The 22,753-nt window shown below is 45.2% G+C and overlaps 1 protein-coding gene and 1 pseudogene across 5 annotated transcripts in view, besides 2 other annotated features; both read left to right on the top strand.

Annotated features, from left to right (window-relative positions):
- Positions 1–22,753, top strand: part of ADAM12 (ADAM metallopeptidase domain 12) — a 376,087-nt gene that overhangs the window by 239,345 nt on the left and 113,989 nt on the right. For all 5 annotated transcript variants that reach the window (NM_001288973.2, NM_003474.6, NM_001288975.2 and 2 more), the window contains exon 5: positions 13,473–13,549. In NM_001288973.2, the coding sequence (NP_001275902.1) occupies positions 13,473–13,549 (77 nt within the window). The remainder of the gene's footprint in view (positions 1–13,472; positions 13,550–22,753) is intronic.
- Positions 710–1,209: an enhancer, noted in NCBI's record as "H3K27ac hESC enhancer chr10:127836493-127836992 (GRCh37/hg19 assembly coordinates)". NCBI's record gives its function as "activates a minimal SCP1, AML or CMV promoter by ChIP-STARR-seq in primed H9 embryonic stem cells {active_cell/tissue: H9 hESC(primed)}" and the evidence as "EXISTENCE:reporter gene assay evidence [ECO:0000049][PMID:30033119]".
- Positions 3,551–3,659, top strand: RNA5SP328 (RNA, 5S ribosomal pseudogene 328; annotated as a pseudogene).
- Positions 12,756–13,955: an enhancer, noted in NCBI's record as "CDK7 strongly-dependent group 2 enhancer chr10:127823747-127824946 (GRCh37/hg19 assembly coordinates)". NCBI's record gives its function as "activates an origin of replication core promoter dependent on BRD2, BRD4, P300/CBP, MED14 and CDK7 cofactors, with strong dependence on CDK7, by STARR-seq in HCT116 cells {active_cell/tissue: HCT116}" and the evidence as "EXISTENCE:reporter gene assay evidence [ECO:0000049][PMID:35650434]".

Here is a 22,753-nt window from a genome sequence, read left to right as displayed (position 1 = left end):
TGTGAAAGGGTGAATGTCTGCTCCATTCCCCTCGTCTTCCCCCGGTCCTCCCCATGGAACTGTCTCTTTACAGGGAAGAGGGTGGGAGGAGACAGGCCCTGAAAATCCCTGGTCCCTGCTAACTGGGGAGTGGCTGCAGCCCCTGTGTTGGGCAGCCCTTGAGGTCAGTAGTGGGTGAGACTTGCCCCTCCCTCCCTCCATGGAGTCCTCTAGGCAGCAGTGTTCCTCATTTCTACCTTCCCCACAATGGGTCCTGAGGCTTTTGGCTGGGAAGAAGGGGAAAGAGGTCGGGGCATGGGGAGGATGGAAGTTGGAAATTGCAGGAAGCCTCTCTACTGTCTAGGCCTAAACTAGTATCCTCTCCAGAATATACCAGAAGCCTCTTTTTTGGCAGTCATTAAGCTGATGCTGTATTTTGATCTTCATCTGACTCTGTGGATCATCTCCACTGGGGAAGCAACTGAAAGCTAGATTAATTGGCACCCCCAAATCTCCAGAAGCATCAAGCACATGTTGCTTTTATAATTAGAAAAATGGTGACTTTTCTTTTAACCCAGCAGTTCCCTTCCCCCATTCCTTTGAATGCCTTTCCAAGCAGTCAGCCTTGTTACAGTAAAGACAGGGAGTGAACAATGTTGTTCACTAATTAAAACCCACAGCCCAGAACAGCTGGTCCTTCCAGCAGGAGCCCCTTAAGGAGAGTCCGAGGCTTTGCATTGTTTTTCGTGGTGAGGACCCAGATGCAGCTTTTAGGGTTTTGTTTTTATTGAATCAGGCTGGAAAACAAAAAGAAATTTGCTGACTCATCTCCTCTTCTGCTCAAGTCAGCACACAGGGAATTTTCCTAAATTTAAAGTTATGTATAAAATAAGAACCACTTTTTGTTGGCTATAGTGTATAGTGCTATTTTTTTCTTTAAATATCTCAACAATTGGTATAAGCTGGTTGACTCAGAAGAGTGGCTGATTTTAATTTTGGAGTTAATCACATCTTTTCTCTCGACTGTCCTGACAGGATGAAATATTTGTGGCTTTATCCTTTGCTGCCCACATCTAAGGGGAGATTATGTTTTATATTGTTACTTTTAATAAGGCCTGCGGGAGACTATCCGTGTGACATTTCTGCTGTTTACATGCCAAAAGACAGCTCTGAAAGGCTGGCAGAGGTCCCCAAAAAGGCTAGATGCTGTCAGTGCTTTGGAGGGAATACATTCGTCTGTTACATGCATCTTGTCAACCAAGAACCTGCACTACGCAGGTACCATGACCTGTTCACATGCCCCCTTATGCTGAGAATACAGCAGGGATTAAAAACAGACAAGGGAGCCCATGGGTGAGGGGAGGCTAGAGGAAGAAGACTGCCCTTATCCTGGTAAGCACAAACATAATTAACATCTGGGCTAAGTGCACCAAAGGAAAGGCCACGGGGCCCTAATCTGGTCTGAGGGATCATGGAAGGCTTTATGGGGAAAGGAACATTTGAACCAACAGCTGGAGGCTGAGGAGGCATGAACCAGGGGACAGGAGGAGAAACGTTCCAGGCTGATGCTGAGTTTTACTTGGGGTGGCGGGGGAGAGGAAGGAAGTGTTTAGGAGCTGATGAAAGTCATAGCGTATAGGACCTGAGGACCATGTTGATAGCCTTGGTTGTGATAGGGGAACATTAGGAGGTCAATAAAGGCCTTCCTCAAGGCGTGTCATGACTATGTTTGGGCTTTGAAAAGCACCCGCTGGCTCCAGCATGAAGTCGTAGTCAGAGGGAACAGGAGGGGAGAGGGAGGGTCCCCTGCTCTGTCAGGGTCAGGCAGGGGCCTCTTGTGGAACAGCCTGAAGCCCAGGTGAGAGGAGATAGCAGCAGAGGCCAGGTGCACGGAATGAAAGGAAGGAAACATGTCTCCCCTTAGACATGATCAGGACCCAAAAATGTTTCATTCGTGGTATATGTTTCTCACTGGAAAAAATAGAGAGCATTTGCTTTGATAGTTTCAAAGGAGACCAGCTGAGATGAACTGAGGCTGGACCATCAGGTAAGGATAGAATCTAATATTTTGGCCAAAAGTGTTGTTTGGGTGACATCCCATTCATTTCCATGGCAACTACTGATTGTCAGAAAGGGATAGTATCTTCTACAACCAGCTTGGACTAAACACGTCAGGGCGGATGACTATCAGGAGTTAACCACAGTTCATTACAGTTAGAAAGCATCTAATCGAGATGAAAAGATAATTCTGGAAGGAAGGGGAAAGTCAGAGATCACGCACATCTCATAAGTGTATCAAGTGTAAGCAGTGTTGCAGGTGCGCAGTGACTATCTGGGCCAGAGGCGTGGGGGTAAGAAGAATTTACCAAGACAGTTGTAGGTAAAGAAAGGGAGATTTACTAGAGATCATAGGAAAATACATTACAAAGGAGCAATGGGCAGGCCAGCAAGAGAGGAGCTGACTGCAAGGAGACAAAGGCTTGCTGGAGATGTTATAGGATGGTGCTTGTGCCACCGGTGTGCTGAAGAAAGCTTTGTGCAATATTGATAATGCCAAGGTTGCAGTGAACTAAATTGCAATTTTCTGTCAGCTGGGGGTCTGGTGATAGCTGGGCACAGGAAGATTGTGAGTCATGTGCACGGGAGGGATATGTGTCCTGGACCATGAAAAAGGCAGACTTGTAGCTTATCTGCTTCTTCATTTTGCTTTCCCCCAATCCTGCTAGCCTGACTCCTCCTCCCTAACTAGGACTCCACAAGCCAGGCTCATCATCATATTCTTCTTAAAACATCATTGAGAATGGATTGAATTTCCCTGCTGTTGCTGTACTCCACACATACCTAACTCACCGGCTCTCCCTGCCTGCCTCTCCCTCACAGGCTGCTTTGCTGTCCCACTGGCCGAGGCACTCAACACCAGTGCCTTCTCTCCCTTGGGTCTTCACCCAAGTCCCGTGGTGACTCCTACCTCCACAGCACATTCCACACCCTTTCCTGTCCACCATCACATGGCTGCACCAGCTCAGGCCCTCCCTTCCTCACAGCTGGAAGATGTTTTAGCCACCTGTCTTTTTCTCCCAACTACCAGTATAACCTAGCTTTAATCCAGACCCCGCACCGGCCTGAATGATCCTTCTAAAACATCTTTCTATTTGTATCACAAGATTGCATTTACATTTTGATCCTCCCAAATCATCAGCAGCTTCCCCCAATGCCTCCTCAGTCAAATTCAAATTTCTTAGACCAGTATCACCCTCCACAGTGGTGACGGCCCTACCTTTTCACACATGCCTATGTTTATTCAGTCATTCATTCATGCACTAATTCAACAAATGTTTACTGATAGTGTCCAATGTGGTAGCTAACATTGAGTAAATATCAACAACAGGCAAGACACTGTGCACAGAACTTTTCATATATTCTGTTGTTTGATCTTCACCAAAAATCAGTTCTTGCTATCTTTATACCCAGATGAGAATACTGAGACATTGAGGGGCTAAATAACTCGGCCACACCCACAGTTAATAAGGATTCAAACCCAGATAGTCTGACTCTAGAATCTGAGCTCCTAGTCTAAGGCTACACTACCCAGAATGAGCCTGATCTCATCTGATCTTGGAAGCTAAGCAGGATCAGGCCTGGCTAGCTCTTGGACAGGAGAGTCTCAGCTCCTATATGCTGTGCTACACTGCCTCCAGTTCACTTGGAACAAAACACTGAGTCTTGGTTATACGTTTCTGGCTATGGTGTTTGTTGTAATGGAATTAGTCTATAAATGGAGTGGATTGGGGAAGCGGGTAGCATTCATTTACAATGGGAGACACCTAGAGAATGCTCTTGGGGGAGAGCAGCTGAACCAAAGTCCTGGAATATGAGGAGAGGAGAGGCCAGAACAGGCCTCTGGGGATTCACTAAGTGCATCACTCCAAGGCCCAACTGAACTCAGACCAGTAAACATCCCATACTCTGTGGCAAGTCTGCAGAAGGGAGGATGCAGCCCCTGTCCTCAGGGAACATACATTCTAACAACATATGACATAATGTGCCCATAACAGAGATGCTTTGGGAGCCAAACAATGCAAGGGGCAAACCCACGTTCCCAGAGGAACTCACTGTTTTGGTGACTTTTCTTCCATAAAATTGTCAGGAAAGGGCAGGCTGTAAGATAGACCTTCTGTCTGGAGACAGGATACGTCAAGGTTAGGATCACAAGCCAGAGTCCAGCTACCCAGGTTCGAATCCCAGCTCGAGCACTTAACCAGCTGTGGGATGTGACGATGAAACAGACACCGAGCCTGGCACTCAGTCGGGGCTTTGGGGAAGTGAGCCAGCCATGGCCACTGCTGTGCCAGTGATCATTTCACAGCAGTTCTTCCCCACGCTGTACCATATGTTCCTTCTGAAATCCCTTGTAGATTCTGAGAACAGATGAGAAGCTGGGATGCGGCTGATAACTGAGTTGTTCAGGCCTGTGTGTCTCCATCAAATTGCAAATGGCCCTATAGGTCTTCTGACCCCTGCCCCTGCTAACCCCCCCGTGTGCATTTTCACACAATATCCAAGAAAATTTGCAGTTAGGAGTTAGAGCCAAGTGACAGGGTATAAGCAAATAACCCTCCCTTCTCTCTAATGGGTCAATTTCTCTCATGCACATCCATTCATTCATTCGTTCAACAAAAATACACTGAGCAATGGGTCAGTGTGGAAGAAAATAGCAAGTGGAAAATAGAGCTTACAGCAGAGTGGGTTTAAAATATTTATGTTCGTATTCCAGATTTGTAACAATGCCTTACATTTTATGAATTGCGTCCCCATGTCATGTTTATTTGATCCACAAAACTCTGGACAACTAAGTGCCCGTCCCATTATACAGATTAAAAACTGAGAGACTCAACCCGAAGATTTCCAATTCTGGATGGATCTAGTGATCTCACTATTGCAGACGTGCTGTTCCCAGGCCCAGTTTGCCTGGAGGTCTCAAAGACTATGAACATGATTTTGTAAGCGTTTGTTCTCTCTGCAGAATTCTAGCACAGCAAAATGATTTCAGTGGTCCCTGAGGTTAGTTCTTTATAGTCTTTTAACCAGACATGGTTCTTGTTATGGACATGGGAGCAGAGATGCTCGGAGGATGGGTGTGGTGACTTATTTCTTCACAATCCTGCCCTGCACACTCTCAGGACTAAGTGTAATGTAGCCCAGTTATAGAAACACACAGAGCTGCAAAGTCACTTTTTCTTTGCTCAGATGCATTGTCACCTTGTTTTAGTCTCAAGCAAACATGTAGTATGTTGGGGCTTGCGTGCAAGGGAACAAGGACCTGACTGCAGTCATGCTGAAATGCAGGCTGGCAACAGACATGCATGTACATACACACACCCAGAAACACAGACACATACACACCCATATACACACAATGCATATACACATGCATACCCACACACACACATATACACACATGCACACCCATATATGCACATACATATACACATATGCACACCATATACACACATACGTGTATACACACACCCACGCACCCCCATATACATACAGATACATGCATATACACACACAAATATACACATGTGCCCACATATACATGCGTGCATACCCATACACATGTACATATACACACATGCACACCCACATCCACACATATACATATATGCACACCATATACACACATACATATACACACACATGCACACCATATACACACATACATATACACACATTCACACATCTGCACACCATATACAAACATATACACACACGCACAGCATATACACATGTATATATACACACATGCACACATATACACATGTGCACACCATATACACACATGCACACCCACATGCACACACACACATGCATACCCATATACACACATACATATACACACATGCACACCCACATCCACACAGACACACACATGCACACCATATACACACATACATATACACAGATACCATATACACACATACATATATATACACGTGCATATATACACATGCACACTGATATACACATGCATATGCACACATGCACACCATATACACACGTACATATACACACATGCACACATATGCACATGTGCACACCATATACACACATACATATATATACAAATGCATATATACACATGCACACCAATATACACACATGCATATATACACATGCACACTGATATACACACATGCATATATACACATGCACACCCATGCACCCCATATACATACCCATGCACATGCACACACACAAATATACGCACGTGCCCACATACACACACATACACACCTATAGACACACATACACCCATACACATGTACGCTCACCCACCTTTGGACCCCTCCTATTTATGGGCTTTTCTCTGAGTTTGGAAATGACTTCACCTTCTTATGATGCCATGAGTGACACTGTAATGAGGCTCTGCGGTACCCAGGAAAAGCATTCCGCCCATGTATGGATTTTAGGTGATAGCTTTTTGTTGGGAACAGGCCCCCCGCCAAATCTGGCCATAAACTGGCCCCAAAACTGGCCATAAACAAAATCTCTGCAGCACTGTGACATGTTCGTGATGGCCATGACACCCACGCTGGAAGGTTGTGGGTTTACCAGAATGGAGCAAGGAACACCTGGCCCACCCAGGGCGGAAAACTGCTTAAAGGTGTTCTTAAACCACAAACAATAGCATGCATGATCTGTGCCTTAAGGACATGCTCCTGCTGCAGATAAGTAGCCCAACCCATCCCTTTATTTCAACCCATCCATTCATTTCCCATAAGGAATACTTTTAGTTAATCTACAATCTATAGAAACAATGCTTATCACTGGCTTGCTGTCAGTAAATACGTGGGTAAATCTCTGTTCAGGGCTCTCAGCTCTGAAGGCTGTGAGACCCCTGATTTCCCACTCCACTCCTCTGTATTTCTGTGTGTGTGTCTTTAATTCCTCTAGTGCCGCTGGATTAGGGTCTCCCTGACCGAGCTGGTCTCGGCAGCTTTTCTTTTCTAAAAGAGAGAGAAACTCATGTTTCTGAGAGAAATGCATGTTTCTGACAGCCAGGTATGGAGGGAAGTGTCTGGCCTAGAGTTGAGAGGCCTGGATTTTAGTTCCTGCCCTACCGTTAACCAGCTCTGTGACCTTTGATGGTTATTTAGGTCTTGGTTTCCCCATCTATTCAGGGAAGGGGCTGGCTAAAAGAAAAAGGTTGGCCTTAGATGGCCCAAAGCTTCCTTCTGGCTAGAATATTGTGTGATTCAAGCACTTAATCAAGATAGTTTGGCTCATTGCATAGGGCAAGGAGTCTGGGAAGACCCTACAAATTTCCCCTAAAGAAGGCATTCAGAATAATTTTCATTTGGTATACTCCCTAACAGACTTTGGTAGCATTCCTTTCTAATCACAAGGTCAAGCCATCTTTGTTACCACTTAAGCATATAAAATGCCTTTCCTTCTAGTCCACTGAGAGTTGGGTAACAGACGTTTGATTTTACTTCCCACATGGCGTAGAGTTGAGGGCTACCAATTTTCAAGTTCAAGAGTTCTTATTCCATCTTCCTCTTACCCACCATTATATTTGATTGATAGTATTAAACAGAAGGAAAAGTTGTTCTACTGGAGTGGGAAAATGCATTAGGTTAAGTAATAAGTATATAAAATACATGGTTAGAGGTTTTTGAAAAGGAAAAGATGTAATTTTCTGGTTATGCATGTTTGGGGCTCTTTTTCTGTGTTGTGTTTTGTTGGTAGAAATAGAATGTCTTGGATCAGCAGAACTAGGCAAAGACGGCCTGGCCTAGTGGGACCATGTCTTGTTCGGCAATGTCTTTAGAGACATAAGGGTGAGGAAAAGAAAGAGGCTATACAGTTTAGCGCCCTTGAGGCAATCAGAGAGAGGAACAGGAATGCAGTGTTGGAAGGTCTGCAGAGGGTTGTGGCCACAGCTGGCTGGCTGGTAAGGGCCATGCAGTGATCAACAGGTCAGGGGGCCCTGGGGTGCAAGCCCCTCTTAGGCATGATGGCTCCCTGCTGGGTCTCTTTCTGGTGTGGATATTCAGACCCAAAAACCAAGTGTTTGTGAACCCACAAGGCCTAGTTGGTGCCTGCCTCTTAGCATCAGTGCGTGCAGAGGTGCACCCTTGGGCAGGGCACAGGCTCACCTGGAGATTGTCTTGACTGGCCACTGCTGGCCACTAGCGGTGATGTAGCCTGTGCTCCTCTCTCTCTGCCTTTGTCACTGGCTAAGAGGGTCACCCCCCACCCCCAGGGGTTGAAGACTGCATCTCCTCCACTCCCCATAATCAAATTTCCCAACCAACCACGTGATGCATGGTGTGACAACCATGTCTTGCTGAGTTGCGAAATTATCTGTGTTTTGACTTATGTTATAAAAACTCAATCACATTTGTTTAAACACTTAATGAGACATATTGAAAAAAATTAAATTTCACGAAATTGTCATTGCCTTGGAAAATCTAGAATTTGGAGTTCTCATAATTATGGTCAGTAATCTAAGAAGTTAATCACTGTCAGGAATGAACAACGGACTTGTTAGTCAACTGTCTGAAGGTGATACAAAAGTGGTGTTAAAGCTGGAAATCAGTTGTTAACTCTACTAATGACTGAGAGAAGTGAGATTGTTTACTTTAAGCAACAGTTTATGAGAGCTGAAATCCACCCCCCTCCTCCCTCATAAGCAATACTTCAAGTGAGTTGTTGAACTGGAAATTAATTTGATACTAGTTTGTTCTAAGCTCATGCTCTAACGAGCTTATATTTCTGTGTATTTAATTTGAAAGTACATTTAATAAATAATCTATTAAAAACAAATTGAGATTGAGTATAAATGAGCTTGAAATTTCAGAGGTCAGTAATTAAAATTATTGTCACCATTTGGTTTTCAGTTTTTTAAACAGTATTTAGCTACTTAGAGCAGCATTTCACATTCCTCTAAAATGGGGGAAATTCTGTAACCATATGTGACCCCAAAGATCTGTGACAGTCAAAACCCAGTGATTCTGGTTACCTTAAGCAGCCAAAATCCTAACAGCAGCTGCCAACCTTTCACTCTCTGCATTGTCTTCCGCTTTGATGCCTGCCGTGTGCCCAGGGCTAAAATCCCTACCAGGGAAGCCCGGCCTGGGAAGGTACTAGGATCCCCCTGATGCCCCAGAGCATTATGATCCAATTATATAACCCCCTCATAGTCAGAGAATTATCATGCTTCCCCTACATACCCAACTAAGAGTTAATCTAGAGTGAGAGGACACTGAAGCCATTCAAAATATATGTCACACAAAAGCTAAGGAGGTGACCTGGCAGCGAGGTTTGCCCTCCCAGATGGCCTGGATGGAAGCCTGATGCATCCTTTCCTAAGCCACGTGCTTATTGAAGATGGCAGCTTCTCTGGGGGAGGAACAGGGCACTGTGAGAGCTACACTCCTGCATCTGAACCTTCCAGCCCAGCAGAACTAACCCCACCCCTGGATGCCACTCCCCACCCCCAGCGCCCACTATCTTTGCACATGCTTTCCCTCTGTAGGTAAGTCCTCTCCTGCCATGGCCCCTGCATACCTAGCCATTTCACTCTTCAGTGTTGTATGAAGGATCCAAAAAGGAGCACACGGCACTTTCATTGTTTGCAATTGATATAATCAGCAACATAGAAAAAAGATACGCTACAAACTGATAAACTGATAAGATGGTGTGGCAAAAGTGCCCAATATAAGACCAACTTACAAAATCAAAAGCTTCCCTTTACATTAAAAATAAATATATGTAAGACAAAATAGGAAAAAAGAGATCTTATTTATGATATCAACAAATCTACACAATACCTATACATAAGCTTAACAAAAATTTTCCAACAGCCACGTGGAAAAAAAAATCTAAAACTAGACTAAAGGACATAAAAATGACCGTATTAAAAGAAGAGGCCTGCCATGTACATGAATAGGCAAGCGGTTTATTATGAAAATATAAGTTCTTCCCAAACTGACCTGTACTTCAGTGTAATACAAACTGAGATCTCAATGGGTTATTGTGTAGCTTAAAATTGGATTCTGTAATTCATCTGAAGAGAAAATAGGGAATGATAACCTAGAAACCTTTGAGAAAAGAATGGTACCAAAAGAAAATGATTTGGAGAAAGTCACCAAGACAATTCAATAGAAAAAAGAGTAGGTGTTTCAACAAATGGTTCTGGAACAACTAGCTGTCCACATGCCGAAGAATGAAGTTGGACTTGTACTTCAAGCTACATACAAAAATTAATTCAAGATGGCTAAAGATGTAAATATAATAGCTAAACCCATACAACTCTTAAAAAGAAAAAGATATGTGTAGATCTTTATGACCTTAGGTTAGGTAATGGTTTCTTAGACATGGTACCAGAAGTGTAAGTAGCCAAAGAAAAAAATAGACAAGACCTCATCAAAATTTTGAGCTTCAAAAGATACAATCAAGAAAGTAAAAGGGGCCAGTTCTGATGGCTCACGCCTGTAATCCCAGCACTTTGGGAGGCCAAGGCAGGCAGATTGCTTGAGGTCAGTAGTTCAAGACCAGCCTGGCCAATATGGTGAAATTCCATCACTACAAAAAAATACAAAAATTAGCTGGGTGTGATGGCATGTGCCTGTAATCCCAGTTACTCCAGTGGCTGAGGCAGGAGAATCACTTGAACCCGGGAAGCAGAGGTTGCAATGAGCCGAGATCGTGCCACTGCACTCCAGCCTAGGTGACAGAGCGAGGCTCTGTCTCAAAAAAAATAAATAAATAAAATAAAAATTAAGAAAGTAAAAGGACAACCCATAAAATGGGAAAAAAATCTGTAAATCATATATCTAATAAGGGTCTAGTGCTGAAAATATGTGAAGAACTCTTCTAACTCAACAATAAAAACACCAAAATCCAATTTACAAATAAGCAAGGATTTGAGTAGACATTTCTTCAAAGAAGACATAAAAATGGACAATAAACACATGAAAAGATCCCCAACATCATTAGTGATTAAGAAAATTAAAACCAAAACCACATTGAAATACCACTTTATATCCACTAGGATGGCTATAATTGAAAAGATAAACAATAACAAGTGTTGGTGAATATGTGGGGAAATTAGAGCCCTCGTGTAATGCTCACAGGAATGTAAAATGGTTCAGCTGCTTGGCAAAACAGTTTGGCAGTACTTTAAAAAGTTAAACATTGAGTTTCCATATAACCAGCAACCTTACTTTTAGACCCACGTGTCTACTCATAGTGCATATCCAAGAGAACTGGAAACACATCCTTACAAAAATGTGTACACATGTGTTCATAGTAACGTTACTCATAATAGTCAAAAAGTAGAAACAACTCATGTGCTCAACACTTGGATAAGCAAAATATGTTTTCATCCACAAGGCAGAAGGTGATTCAGCTGTAGAAAAGGAATGACATTCTAATGCATGCCTCAGTATGAATGAACTTGAGAACACCATGCTTAAGTGAAAGAAGCCAGTCACAAAAGGCACTTATTGTATGATTCCATTTCTATAAAATAACAGAACGGGCAAATCCATAGAGATAGAAAGCAGGTTAATGGTTGCCAGAGATGGAGGAGCAGGGAATGGAAAGTGACTGCTAATGAATATGAGATTTCTTTCTGAGGTGACAGAAATGTTTTAGAATCAATTAGTGGTGATGAGTATATAATATTGTGAATATACAACAAAACCCACTGATTATATATGCTTTTAAAAGGTGAGTTTTATGGCAAGTGAATTTAATCTTAATTTTAAAGGACAACTTAACTCTACCTGATATCAAAATAGAGTATAGAGCAATAGTCATTGGAACAGTGTGGAATTGGCACAGAAACAGACAAATGGATGTCTGTCTCAGTGGGCTAGCACAGAGAGTACAAAAGTGGCACCACAAACATACTGTGGGCCTTTGATATATGCCAAGGTAGCATGTCACATCAGTGAGAAAAGGAAAAATGGCAGCAAAGCACAGCTGGCTCTCATTTTTAGGGGAAAGTTAGCATTGAACCTCACAGTCCCACAAAAATTAATTCCAGATGGATTAAAGAGCTAATTGTCAGACTATAAAGATAGAAGAAAATAAAGAAGAACATATTTGTGACCCTGAAAACAGCCACCTTGAGCTATGCAAAAAATGCATGAAGAGAGCGACAAATGCATTTAGATTGATATACACTGGAAACTCTGAACAAAAAATACCATAAGCAAAGTTAAAAGACATTTCCCATGTAATAACAGGCAGAGTATTAATATCCTGAGTATATAAAGAACTTCTAAAATTAATATGAAAAAGCTCAACAGAATAATAAATGTCCCTGCAACCCCTTAACCCTATCACCCTCCTTTCATCGCCTTTTAGATGATCTGAGAATTTTGTCATCTACGTTGAGACCAAGAGATCATCTTAGCCCCTTTCCCATGGTGGTGTCTGGTTTTCTTCATGACTCAATTGCATCTGGTGCTTTTTCTTAGCAAAGTCAAGGTGGGTTTTGTTGGGCAGAATGACTGGACACCAAGCTCTGCGCTGGACAAAGTGCATGACTGTTGTCGTGTGTGAAGGAGCTGTGTGCTAAGGAGGGTGCAGTGGAGACAGACTAACACCTGAGCTGCTCAAAAGAGGAGCTTCTCAGAGGAAACCCTGAGAAGATGCATGTACCTTTCTCTGCAGAGACCTGCACCCAGCTGGCGTCCAGAGGATCTGAGTGAGGAGTACTGAGTATACTCAGCCACTTCTTGCCAGTCTGCCACTTAATTGGGGCTGCAGCATAACCTTTGCTCGATGATAAAATTAACCTTGATTCCGGACTGATATCTGTCTTCACTAAGGAAGTGTCTGTGCTGTGGTTTCTTTTTGTAAGCTGTGACATTATCAAAGAATAGAATATTGCAGGCATGACACACGGGAACTTTTGTCTTAGACTTAGAAGACCTTCCTATTTTTCTTTCCTGCCGAGATAGACTTTCAGCTCTCAATTGGGTAATTCAGTGAGGTCCCCTCCTTCCTTCTTCACCCCCACTTCCTCTCATCTGCTTTCCCGTTTTCATAAGCCACAGATTTAGGCCTTGTTTTATTACATTTCACAGTGTGCTTAAATACCCCCTACAGTTCTTCATCTCATTACAAAAGACAATTTACATGAGGGTAAAATGGCGATGTCAATGTGATTTGTTTTGCTGCTGGATTTTGTAAAACGTTCTGTATCAGGGCTTTCCTGTAGGGTGCCAGAGAGACAAGAGTGAAACTAGGGTTCATTTAAAAACCGCTGTTGGTAATCTGTAAGTAAATCAGATATTCCCGACATAGACCCTGGCTGGGTCATGTTGGGCTTTGCATTAAATATTAAGACTGTAGAACAATATTTTATGCAATGGAAAATTCTATAGTTAAAAACAAGAGGCAGTTGATTTATTATAAGTGGGCAAAAATGTGTTATAACTGAAATGGGATTCTCTCCTCCTCCCCTTTAGGGTCACTGTTACTACCATGGACATGTACGGGGATATTCTGATTCAGCAGTCAGTCTCAGCACGTGTTCTGGTCTCAGGTAAGTGGCCATGACCATGGCGGCTCTAGTCTTCAGCCATCTACTGCAGGCAACCTCTGTCTTTTCCTGCTCGTGCTAAAGCACTGAGAGTGAGTGATGGGGGCTCCCAGCTCAGCTACACCTCCACCTAGGCAAGAGAACACGGAGGCCCTCTCTCCACTGCTTACAAGAGCATGGCCACCCAGGATCTTAGCCTCATGTTCATGCCCCCTCTTACAGTGCCATCCTCAGGCCTGGTGGGGTAAAAGCGACTGAACTGGTTGAGTTTCTACATCCAAGCATTTTGTGAATTATTTTCCATTTATGTGGCTCTGATGCTTTATAATTCCCAGTGCTAAAAGATAGAACATTACATACCAATGTTGAAGCTGCTGGCTTAATGTAAATCTTAAAGGGCCTCCTCTCATTAGGAAACAAAGTAAGGAAACTAATTTAGCAACAACCAAGGTGAGTTGAATAGAGGCATGGATTGGTAGGGGGTTTGCTACTATGCTACGGGCATGATGCAGGAAACAATTACCTTCCCATGCTAGACAAGTCAACCCCAGGTGTTACTCACAGCCCGCTTCCTTCCACATCACAGTTATTGGCCATCAGGTGGCCCTTATGTGCTCCCCAGGAAAATCATTTTGTTTGATAAATTTCCAGCTGTTTCAGCCTTTTTACTGGATTTGCTTATCGAATTTGTGAACTAAATGTTTGTAACCTCAGAGTCCTGGGTAACTTTGGCCCAAGGCACCAAAGCATGATTCCATGGGAGGGAAGAGAGAGAAGGCCCTGGAAGGATATACCTGCTTGAGTTAAAAAGCAGAATCACATTCTGCGCATCAGCAGTTCCTGTGACGTCTTTGCAGGTTCTGTGTGGGATCATGGAGGATGAGAATATGCATGTGACACACACAACAACCACACACCTACCAGTTTATTCTTTGCTGCCCTCACTTCTACTCCAGCCAGCAGAGAATGAGAGTTCTATTTGCTCACATGTTCCCCATTGCTCAATACATCTGATTTATCTCTAAGTATTTACCAGCGTTGGTCCTTTCATGTAACTAAAAATAAGTACACAAAGCTATTCCTCTTCCTCGTTCATCCCGTTCCAGTCCCACTCAGATAAAAATGCAAGCTGGGAATTCCCCTCCCAGCTTTCTCATCCCTTGTGCATGTAAACACATAGTCAGAGATTGGGGTGTGTATTTGTTTATTTTTACAAACATAGAGTCACATCATATACATCATTCTACGGCTTTCTTTTGTCACCCAACCCTGTCTGTCTCTCCAAGTTAGCAGACACAGACCCAAATCATTGAGTGAACACACACATTTGCATGCACACACACATTTCTGCATACCTGCATTTTTTTAAAAGCATTTTTATGTCCTATTTATGCAACACAATTGAACTTTAAGATGTCTGCTACTCTGAAAAGTGAAGGAGGTGCCTTGTGGTTTGAATTTGCTTCTCTTCAGTTATTCATTCGTTCAGAAAACATTCCTTGAGTGCTTCCTCATTGCCAGTTCTGTTCTAGGTTCTGGGGGCACGGCACTGAACAAAATGCATTCTTCCTGGAGCACTTCCTAGTGGAAGGAACAGACAATGGACATAGAGTAAGATACATGATGTCAAGGATCATGGAGAAAGACAAAGCTGAGATGGAGGACAGGAAAGGCAACAGGTAGTCAGGGAGGTTCGGAAGGAGGTGAGGTGAGCCCTTTAGATGAGGTAGGTAGCATATCAGAGAGAAGAGCATGTGCAAAGCTCCTGAAGCAGAAAGATGCCTGGGATATTCCCAGAGCAGCGAGGTGGCCAGCATAACTAGAGTGGACAGGGACAGGGAGGCAGTAGAGAGAAATGAGGTCAGAAGGGAAGTGGAAAGGTAGGATCACCAGGGGTCACGAAGGTGATCAGATGTCCTTTGGCCTCCCCCCCAGTGATGGGTGCCAGGGAGCTTGGAGCTGAAGTGATGTGGTCTGACTTCACATTTTTACAGGGGCACTCCAGCTGCCAGGCTGGAAATAGACTGTAGGGAATGTGCACAGAAGCGGAGGCTTGGGTAGGTGTCTTCAGAGTAACTCTGGTAAGAGGTGGTGGGGCAGGCCTGGTCAAAGGTGGCAACTTTTGTGAGAGTCGAGAGACCTTTCCACGGGTATTAGAGAGGCTGGCGACTCTAAATTTTGTTAGTGATCTGTGTCTTAAAGTCACTTTCCTGAGGAAGCGTGGGGTGTGAGCACATGAAAGGACCTACTGAAGATGCAGCAAAATCCACTACCAGGCAGGGACTCCAATACGCGTACACGCCCAGCATGCAGAGTGGGCGCTCAGGAGAAGGTGAAGAAGGAGAGTTTGGAAGTGACAATTTAGAGCAAAGATGACAACTGTTCACCACCAAGGAGCTGAGGTACATGAGGGAGAAATTTTAAGTAATGAAGTATCATCCTGAGAGGCTGCAGGGGAGGTGATATCAGTGGAATCAGCCAGGATTCAGCTAGGGGAAGGAGGTAAGAGGAATATTCTGGAAGAGATTTGGATCAGGATAGGATTTGAGGATGGACCATGAGCCCCAAGAGCACAGTGGAAAGGGTTAGGGAAAAGGGAGTGGGGATAGGGTCAGTAGAGGATTAAAGACTTGTGGGGGATAAGGGGCCAGTTTTCATGGAAAACCAGTGCTTGAATTCCTGGAGGAGACAGAGATGAGGGGGTGAAATGGGATCAGACCTGGTGGCATCTGAGGTGAAGGTGAGTGACCAATTCAAAATGGATACTCTGGGACCCCAGGTAGATGTTCTCACCCTAGAACATGATAGTCAGGGTGGTGAATTAGCTGTGTGACGATGGACAGGTCACTGGGCCTCTCTGAGCCCCAGTTTGCATGGTGGGAAGTTTGCATGTTCAAACAAAGTTTGAGTTTGTTTCTCCCCTGTGATGGGTGCCAGGGGAGAAACAGTAAACAAATGCAGTGACCTCTAGGAAAGCCAAGCCCTGTGCCCACCTCTAGTGAGCATCATGAGACAGTCTTTGTTCTTTGATTCTGGGACTGGACTAGTTGAGGGGGGGGGGGTGTTCATGCAGCACTCCTGGGATAATTCCTTGCAAAGCTTTGCAGCTCCTGTAGAGACCAGGGCAGAGATACACAAGGCCATGGTAGTAAGGACCACACACACTTGGAAAGGGAAATCCACACTTTACTATTGTGCCTCTCTGGGGCCTGAAAGGTGGACCTCTTTCTTCAAAGGTCATGTGTTGAAGGCTGGATATTTTCAGCCTTCAATTTGGCATTAAGGTCATTGTGTGTAAAGAAGAGAAAAGCTGCCCGGGGGCGCGGTGGCTCACGCCTGTAATCCTAGCACTTTGGGAGGCCGAGGCGGGTGGATCACAAGGTCAAGAGATCGAGACCATTCTGGCCAACATGGTGAAAACCCATCTCTACTAAAAATACGAAAATTAGCTGGGCGTGGTGGCATGCTCCTGTAGTCCCAGCTACTTGGGAGGCTGAGGCAGAAAACTGCTTGAACCCGGGAGGCGGGGGTTGCAGTGAGCCGAGATTGTACCACTGCACTCCAACCTGGTGACAGAGTAAGACTCCAACTAAAAAAAAAAAAAAAACACGAATTCAAACTGACTTAAAGAAAAACAAAATAATGTGGAGATAGGCTTATGCTACTGAAAAATCTAGGCATGGCTGGATACAGGGTCCTAGCTAATATTATCACGGTCTATTTTCTATCTCAAGCCTCTACCTTCTTCTGTGTTACTTTCATTCTCAGGCACTATCTTAGCATGGGCTGCCATAGCAAAATACCATAGACTGGTTGGCTTAAACCATAGAATTTTATTTCTCACAGTTCTTGAGCCTGGAAAGTCCAAGATCAATGAGCTGACAAGATTGATTTTTCCTCCTGAGGCCTTTTCTCTTGGCTTCCAGGCAGTCATTAGCTTGCTGTGTGCTCACGTGACCTCTCTTTGTGCGTGTACAGAGGGAGGAAGCTCTGGTGTCCCTTATAAGGGCACGAATCCCATCATGGGGCTTCCCTCATGATCTCATCTAAGCCTGATCAGCTCCCAAAGGCCCCATCTCCCGATACCATCACATGGGGGCCATGGCTCTAACATATGAATTTGCAGGGTATATAAACACTCAGTCCATAATAGGCAGTTGTTGTTTTGTTTTGTTGGCAGCATGAGGCTTCCATGCTCAAAAAGCAAGAAGAAGAATAAGGGCCTCTCTCCCAAGCTCAGTGGAGGTCATCTAAACACATCCCAGTGGCTCTGACTAGGCCACTGGCTCATCTGTGAAACAATCAGAGTTGTCAGTGGGGAGCTTAGTAGTCTGATCAAACAGGTTATGGCCCTATATCCTGGACCAGGTTGAGGGAAAACTGCACCCAGGGTCCCCGAGGCAGGGAGCAGGGAAGGGGTGAATGTACCAAAGAAATGCAATGAGCTTTTGCCAAAAAAAAAAAAAAAAAAAAAAAAAAAAAGAAGACAGCTGAGAGCCAGGGACACTCAGAAACAAATAGGCCTCTTCCAGCAACAATTATGAAGAAATTCCCAATTATCAAAACTGAGATCAGCCATCAATGGAAACATCCAGGATTGGCTGGATAATTTTCAGGTTATCTTTATAGGGCTATCAGATTCTTGATGGGCAAAGAGAAAAGGATTCTCTACAAGGAGTTCCTAATAGCTCCTATTTACCTTAATAAAACAACTTATAAACTAGTGACATTAACTCATTAGAGTGACAACTGGGGAAGGTATTCCTAGAGTAATATCCAAGCAAGACAAATCCTCCCATAGGGCTTGGCCTTGCCACTCAGTCACAACCCTCCATCCCTCTTCCCAGGCCAGCCCTGTAGTCACCGTGTGCCAGGCACGCTGCCTTAGCTCTTTCAGCCTCCCACAAAGGTGCAGGGCAACTGTCAGGGTTGCCAGTTCCTTCCGCATGGTGGTGACGACCTCGCTGGCCAGACTCTGCAGTGTCTGAGTCTCCACATCCACCCCGCATCCCCAGGAGCAGGCACAGACTCATAAATTTGGCAGAAAAGAATATTGTGAAATCCTTGCAGCTGGGATTTCAGGAAAAGTCAGAAGAGTAAGTGCTGCATTGTCTGGTGTCAGCCACCAAGAGGGAATGGGAATGGTGATGAGGAACGCTGTGTGGGTCTAATGAACTCCTCACTGTGGGCGCTTCTGAGAATTTTGACTTCCCAGATCTTTGTGCTGTTGTTACAAAAGCAGCAGACCGTGCATCAACAGAGAAATTCCGCAGCTGTACAGTCAACTTTATGATCTTTCAAGTCAAGAATCAGACCAGGGTGAGGGGAAGCTGTATCTGATCAACTGCTCACTGACAGAAGAATTGATTGAGACTGGAAGTAAAAGGAAAAAAAAAAATGCAACTAGAGTAGCCCCAGCCTGCTAGCTGTTAAGAAAGAAAATGGGGATTAAAAATTGTGTTAAATGTGGTGTGCTCCAGAAACATATTAAGATCTAGGAACCTGGAGGGAAGCTGGGGTGTCCTAGAAGACACATTAATTACAGCCCAACAGATTCCAGTTTTGCAGCGAAAGAACATCCCACATTGCTTCAAAAACACAGGATCACAAATCAGCAGGAAGAAAAAAACTCTGTTCTAGAACATAGAAGAAGGAGGGAATTAACAAGTTGTTTTTCATCATTTGAAGCTTGAAGCGGAAAGCACACGGAGACAAAAACAGCACAAAGATCTCAGTAGAAAGGGACATGAAAGAGGAGATGGCTCTTGAATGGAGGGAATGAAGTACAACATGGAAAATGGGTCGTAAAAAGGAGTTCAGCCATGGAGTTTATTCTTACTTTGAAATGACTCCAAGTCGAATGTGAAGTTGAGGCCATACGTTAATTTTGTCCCGTATCGTATGTCTCCCATCGATGCGCAACTCCCAGTTAATACGGTTTCGGTGAAGTGCTTGTGATTCTCCTCCCCCTTTTTACATTCTGGTTCCCAATTTGCTCTGGTGGCTTGGTGCTCTCATTCCTGCCAGCCAGGGAGCCTGGAGGCACAGCCATGAGCTTCAGATAATCTGCAACTCTGCAGGGCACAGACATCAAACTGTCACTGAGATGGGAAGAGAATCCAGCTCCTGGCCCAGAGGAACCGACCCACTGTACTTTGTAATGGGATAGACGTCCAGCCCTGTCATGCTCCTGCTGGGGCATCAAAACAGCCATGCACCCGTCTTCTGAGTTTGTTCCTAAATGCCACGTTCCCACTGCTTCAGCTCCTGGCTGGAGCATGAGCTCCTGGAGGGAAAAGGTTGTCTCTCTCTAATTTTTCTGGTTCTCTTGCCCCGCTCTCTCAGCTCTGACTCAGGTATCTGGCAGGAGGAGTCTCATGGGCTCTTGGCATTGGAATGAGCCCCAAGTCTTCATCACCTGCAGGCACAGAGGTTCGACTGAAGCTGAATTTCTTCAGGGCCTACCTGTGCTTTAAAAGACCTGAGCCAAGCTCACTTGCTAGATGAGGAAGTGGTATCTCGATCAGATCGTACACTAGAGACTGGTTGTCATCATAGTTATTTCCTTTTTAAATGGGGTTGGTGACACCTGAGCACGAGGTGTCCTCACACTCACATGCGCAGGCTCCCACTTGCACACATTCCCACACGCGCACCACACACTCCCATGGGCAGGTGCCCACTTGCACACATTCCCACACGCGCACCACACACTCGCACAGGCGCCCACTTGCACACATTCCCACACGCACCACACACTCACATGCGCAGGCGTCCACTTGCACACATTCCGACACGCGCACCACACACTCACATGGGCAGGCGCCCACTTGCACACATTCCCACACACGCACCACACACTCGCACAGGCGCCCACTTGCACACATTCCCACACACACACCACACACTCGCACAGGCGCCCACTTGCACACATTCCCACATGCACACCACACACTCACATGCACAGGCCCCCACTTGCACACATTCCCACACGCGCACCACACACTGACATGCACAGGCGCCCACTTGCACACATTCCCACATGTACACCACACACTCACATGCGTACCCACTCTGTGGGGTGCTGATGATAGTTGCAGTAGGTCATACTTTATTTTTCTTCATTGTTATGATTCCTGTTTTCATGAGAATGGGGCAGATGTTATTGTCACCTGAGCAGCCAACTAAGGCATGGCATCCTCAGGGGCCTGGAGTTCGTTTCCCAACCCCCAGCATTGCTGTCATGCAGTTTGCACCTTGAAATCGCCACCCTCTCAAAGCCCTTTGCCCCATCCCCATATCACCAGGTACTGACCCAGCTCACTTCCCTTCCTCATCCCAGCTGCAGACCGGGGCCTCTCCTGAATTGGCACCTCACCTTTCCTTGTCCTCATGGGAAGCTCACACAAGCCACGAGCAGGTCTCATGCTCCTTGGTTTACAGGTAAAAAGCAGAGACCACAAAAGTGACTTCCTCATGGCCTCTCAGTGATAATGGGCAAAACTAGATCTTAAACCCAAGCCTGGCTGACCCCCGTTCAATTTTTTTTCTGGTAAACCTCTTGCATAATTTGGATCCAATCTTCTTTTTCAGTCCCACCATCCCCTTCCTGAGGAAACCACCCTATTCCCGCCATGCTGTTTTTTTGGCTGTTTCCAGAGCATGCCGCCACATGCGTGGTGCTGCCCCTCTGCCTGGGACACACTACTCCCTGCCCTCCCTTTTGACTTTGGAAGATCCACTCTTCCCTCAAGGCCCAAGTCAAACACTGCTTCCTCCTCCAAGAAGCCTCTCCTGGTGTCCCCATCTCCTCACCATCTGGCTCAGCCATGTGCTGTCATGCATTTCCTCATACATTGTAGTTCTGGTAGCATAGCAGGTGCTTTGTAAATATGTGTTTACGTCCCTGTCTTAAGGCCCCTATCCTTCCTTGCCCATGCCTTGGTAACTGCCATACCTCATTCTACGAGGTGCCTGCAACGTATAGGTCTAACACCCAGAAGGTCAGGTGCATGGAGGTGGCCTTGCCTTCACCTTCCTGTCTGCTACACTGGGAGTTCCAGGAAGGCAGGGACTGGGTGCCCCAACACGGCTGTGTCCTAGACCCTGGCATGTTACAAGTACTCAGTAAGTAGTGCAGGAATAGATGTGCCCTCCCAAAGGTCAGGCAGTTCATAAACCTTAATTTTGGCCAATCCACTTTTTAAAAACTATTTAAAGTGCAGTAGAACATATGAAGGAGGAAATTGGCATGGAATGGCGGTAAAGCCACTTTGACCTTCACCTTTGCACTTGTGGTGCTCGCTCCATCAGCACCTGTCTGACTAGCCCACCTGGCTCTCCTCCAACCTCTGGCCAGGTGTCTCTAGCCAGGTTTCCACACTGCTTCCCTTCTCCCTTCTGCTTCCTCCCATGGAGATCTTTGGACATCCGGGTAAACTCCTGTGAGAGCCATCCCTGGGGGCCCACCTCAGCTGTTTGCAGATATTGTTGGACATGTGCACGAGTCAGCAAGAAGCTTTGACGTGCATGCCACAGGGATCCACTGGCCACCAGCCACGGTGGTTTTGCCAGGTGGCATCTGCTCTGAAGGAGATCCAAGGTCAAGTCTCTCAGCTCTCCCCAGGCCCCACTGTCACTCAAAACTCAGGATGTCTCAATCTAAACTCCTCTGGGTAGGTCTCCAGACTGGCTCTCCACCTGACCTCTTGTCCAGAAGGTCCACAACACCTCGAGTCTATAAGCCTGACCCCAGGGAGATTTCTGTAACCTATTGTATCCACCCAGGCCCTGCACGCTCTCCCCTATAGCGTCTCCTTCATCCCTCTCTTCTATCACCATCCTTGTTCAACCCCCCTCTTAGATTTGAAAATTGCCTCCCCCACTGTGCTTCTGTCTCCACCCCTCCTTTCATTGCCATGTTGCACATTCTAGAAGGTCATGTTTTAAAAACACTACTAGATCATGTCATAAATCCTGCCAACCCATTGCACTCCAGCCCACCTTGGCTCTCCATGGCTTACTTGTCAAAGCCTCTAGTTCAGTCTTATGCTTGTTCAATAGTCCTGCAAATATTTAGTGATCACTTACTCACCTACTGGTCACGTGCAAACTGCAATGCTGGTTCTAAAAAAAACAACGAAAATAAGGAAACTATTCCCTGGGTGTGTAAAGGGAGCCAGATATCAATTTAATAAAATGTTGTTA

This window comes from Homo sapiens, chromosome 10 (assembly GCF_000001405.40).
Source record: "Homo sapiens chromosome 10, GRCh38.p14 Primary Assembly".
NCBI classification, from domain to species: Eukaryota; Metazoa; Chordata; class Mammalia; order Primates; family Hominidae; genus Homo; species Homo sapiens.
This window is presented reverse-complemented; position numbering and strand designations above follow the sequence as displayed.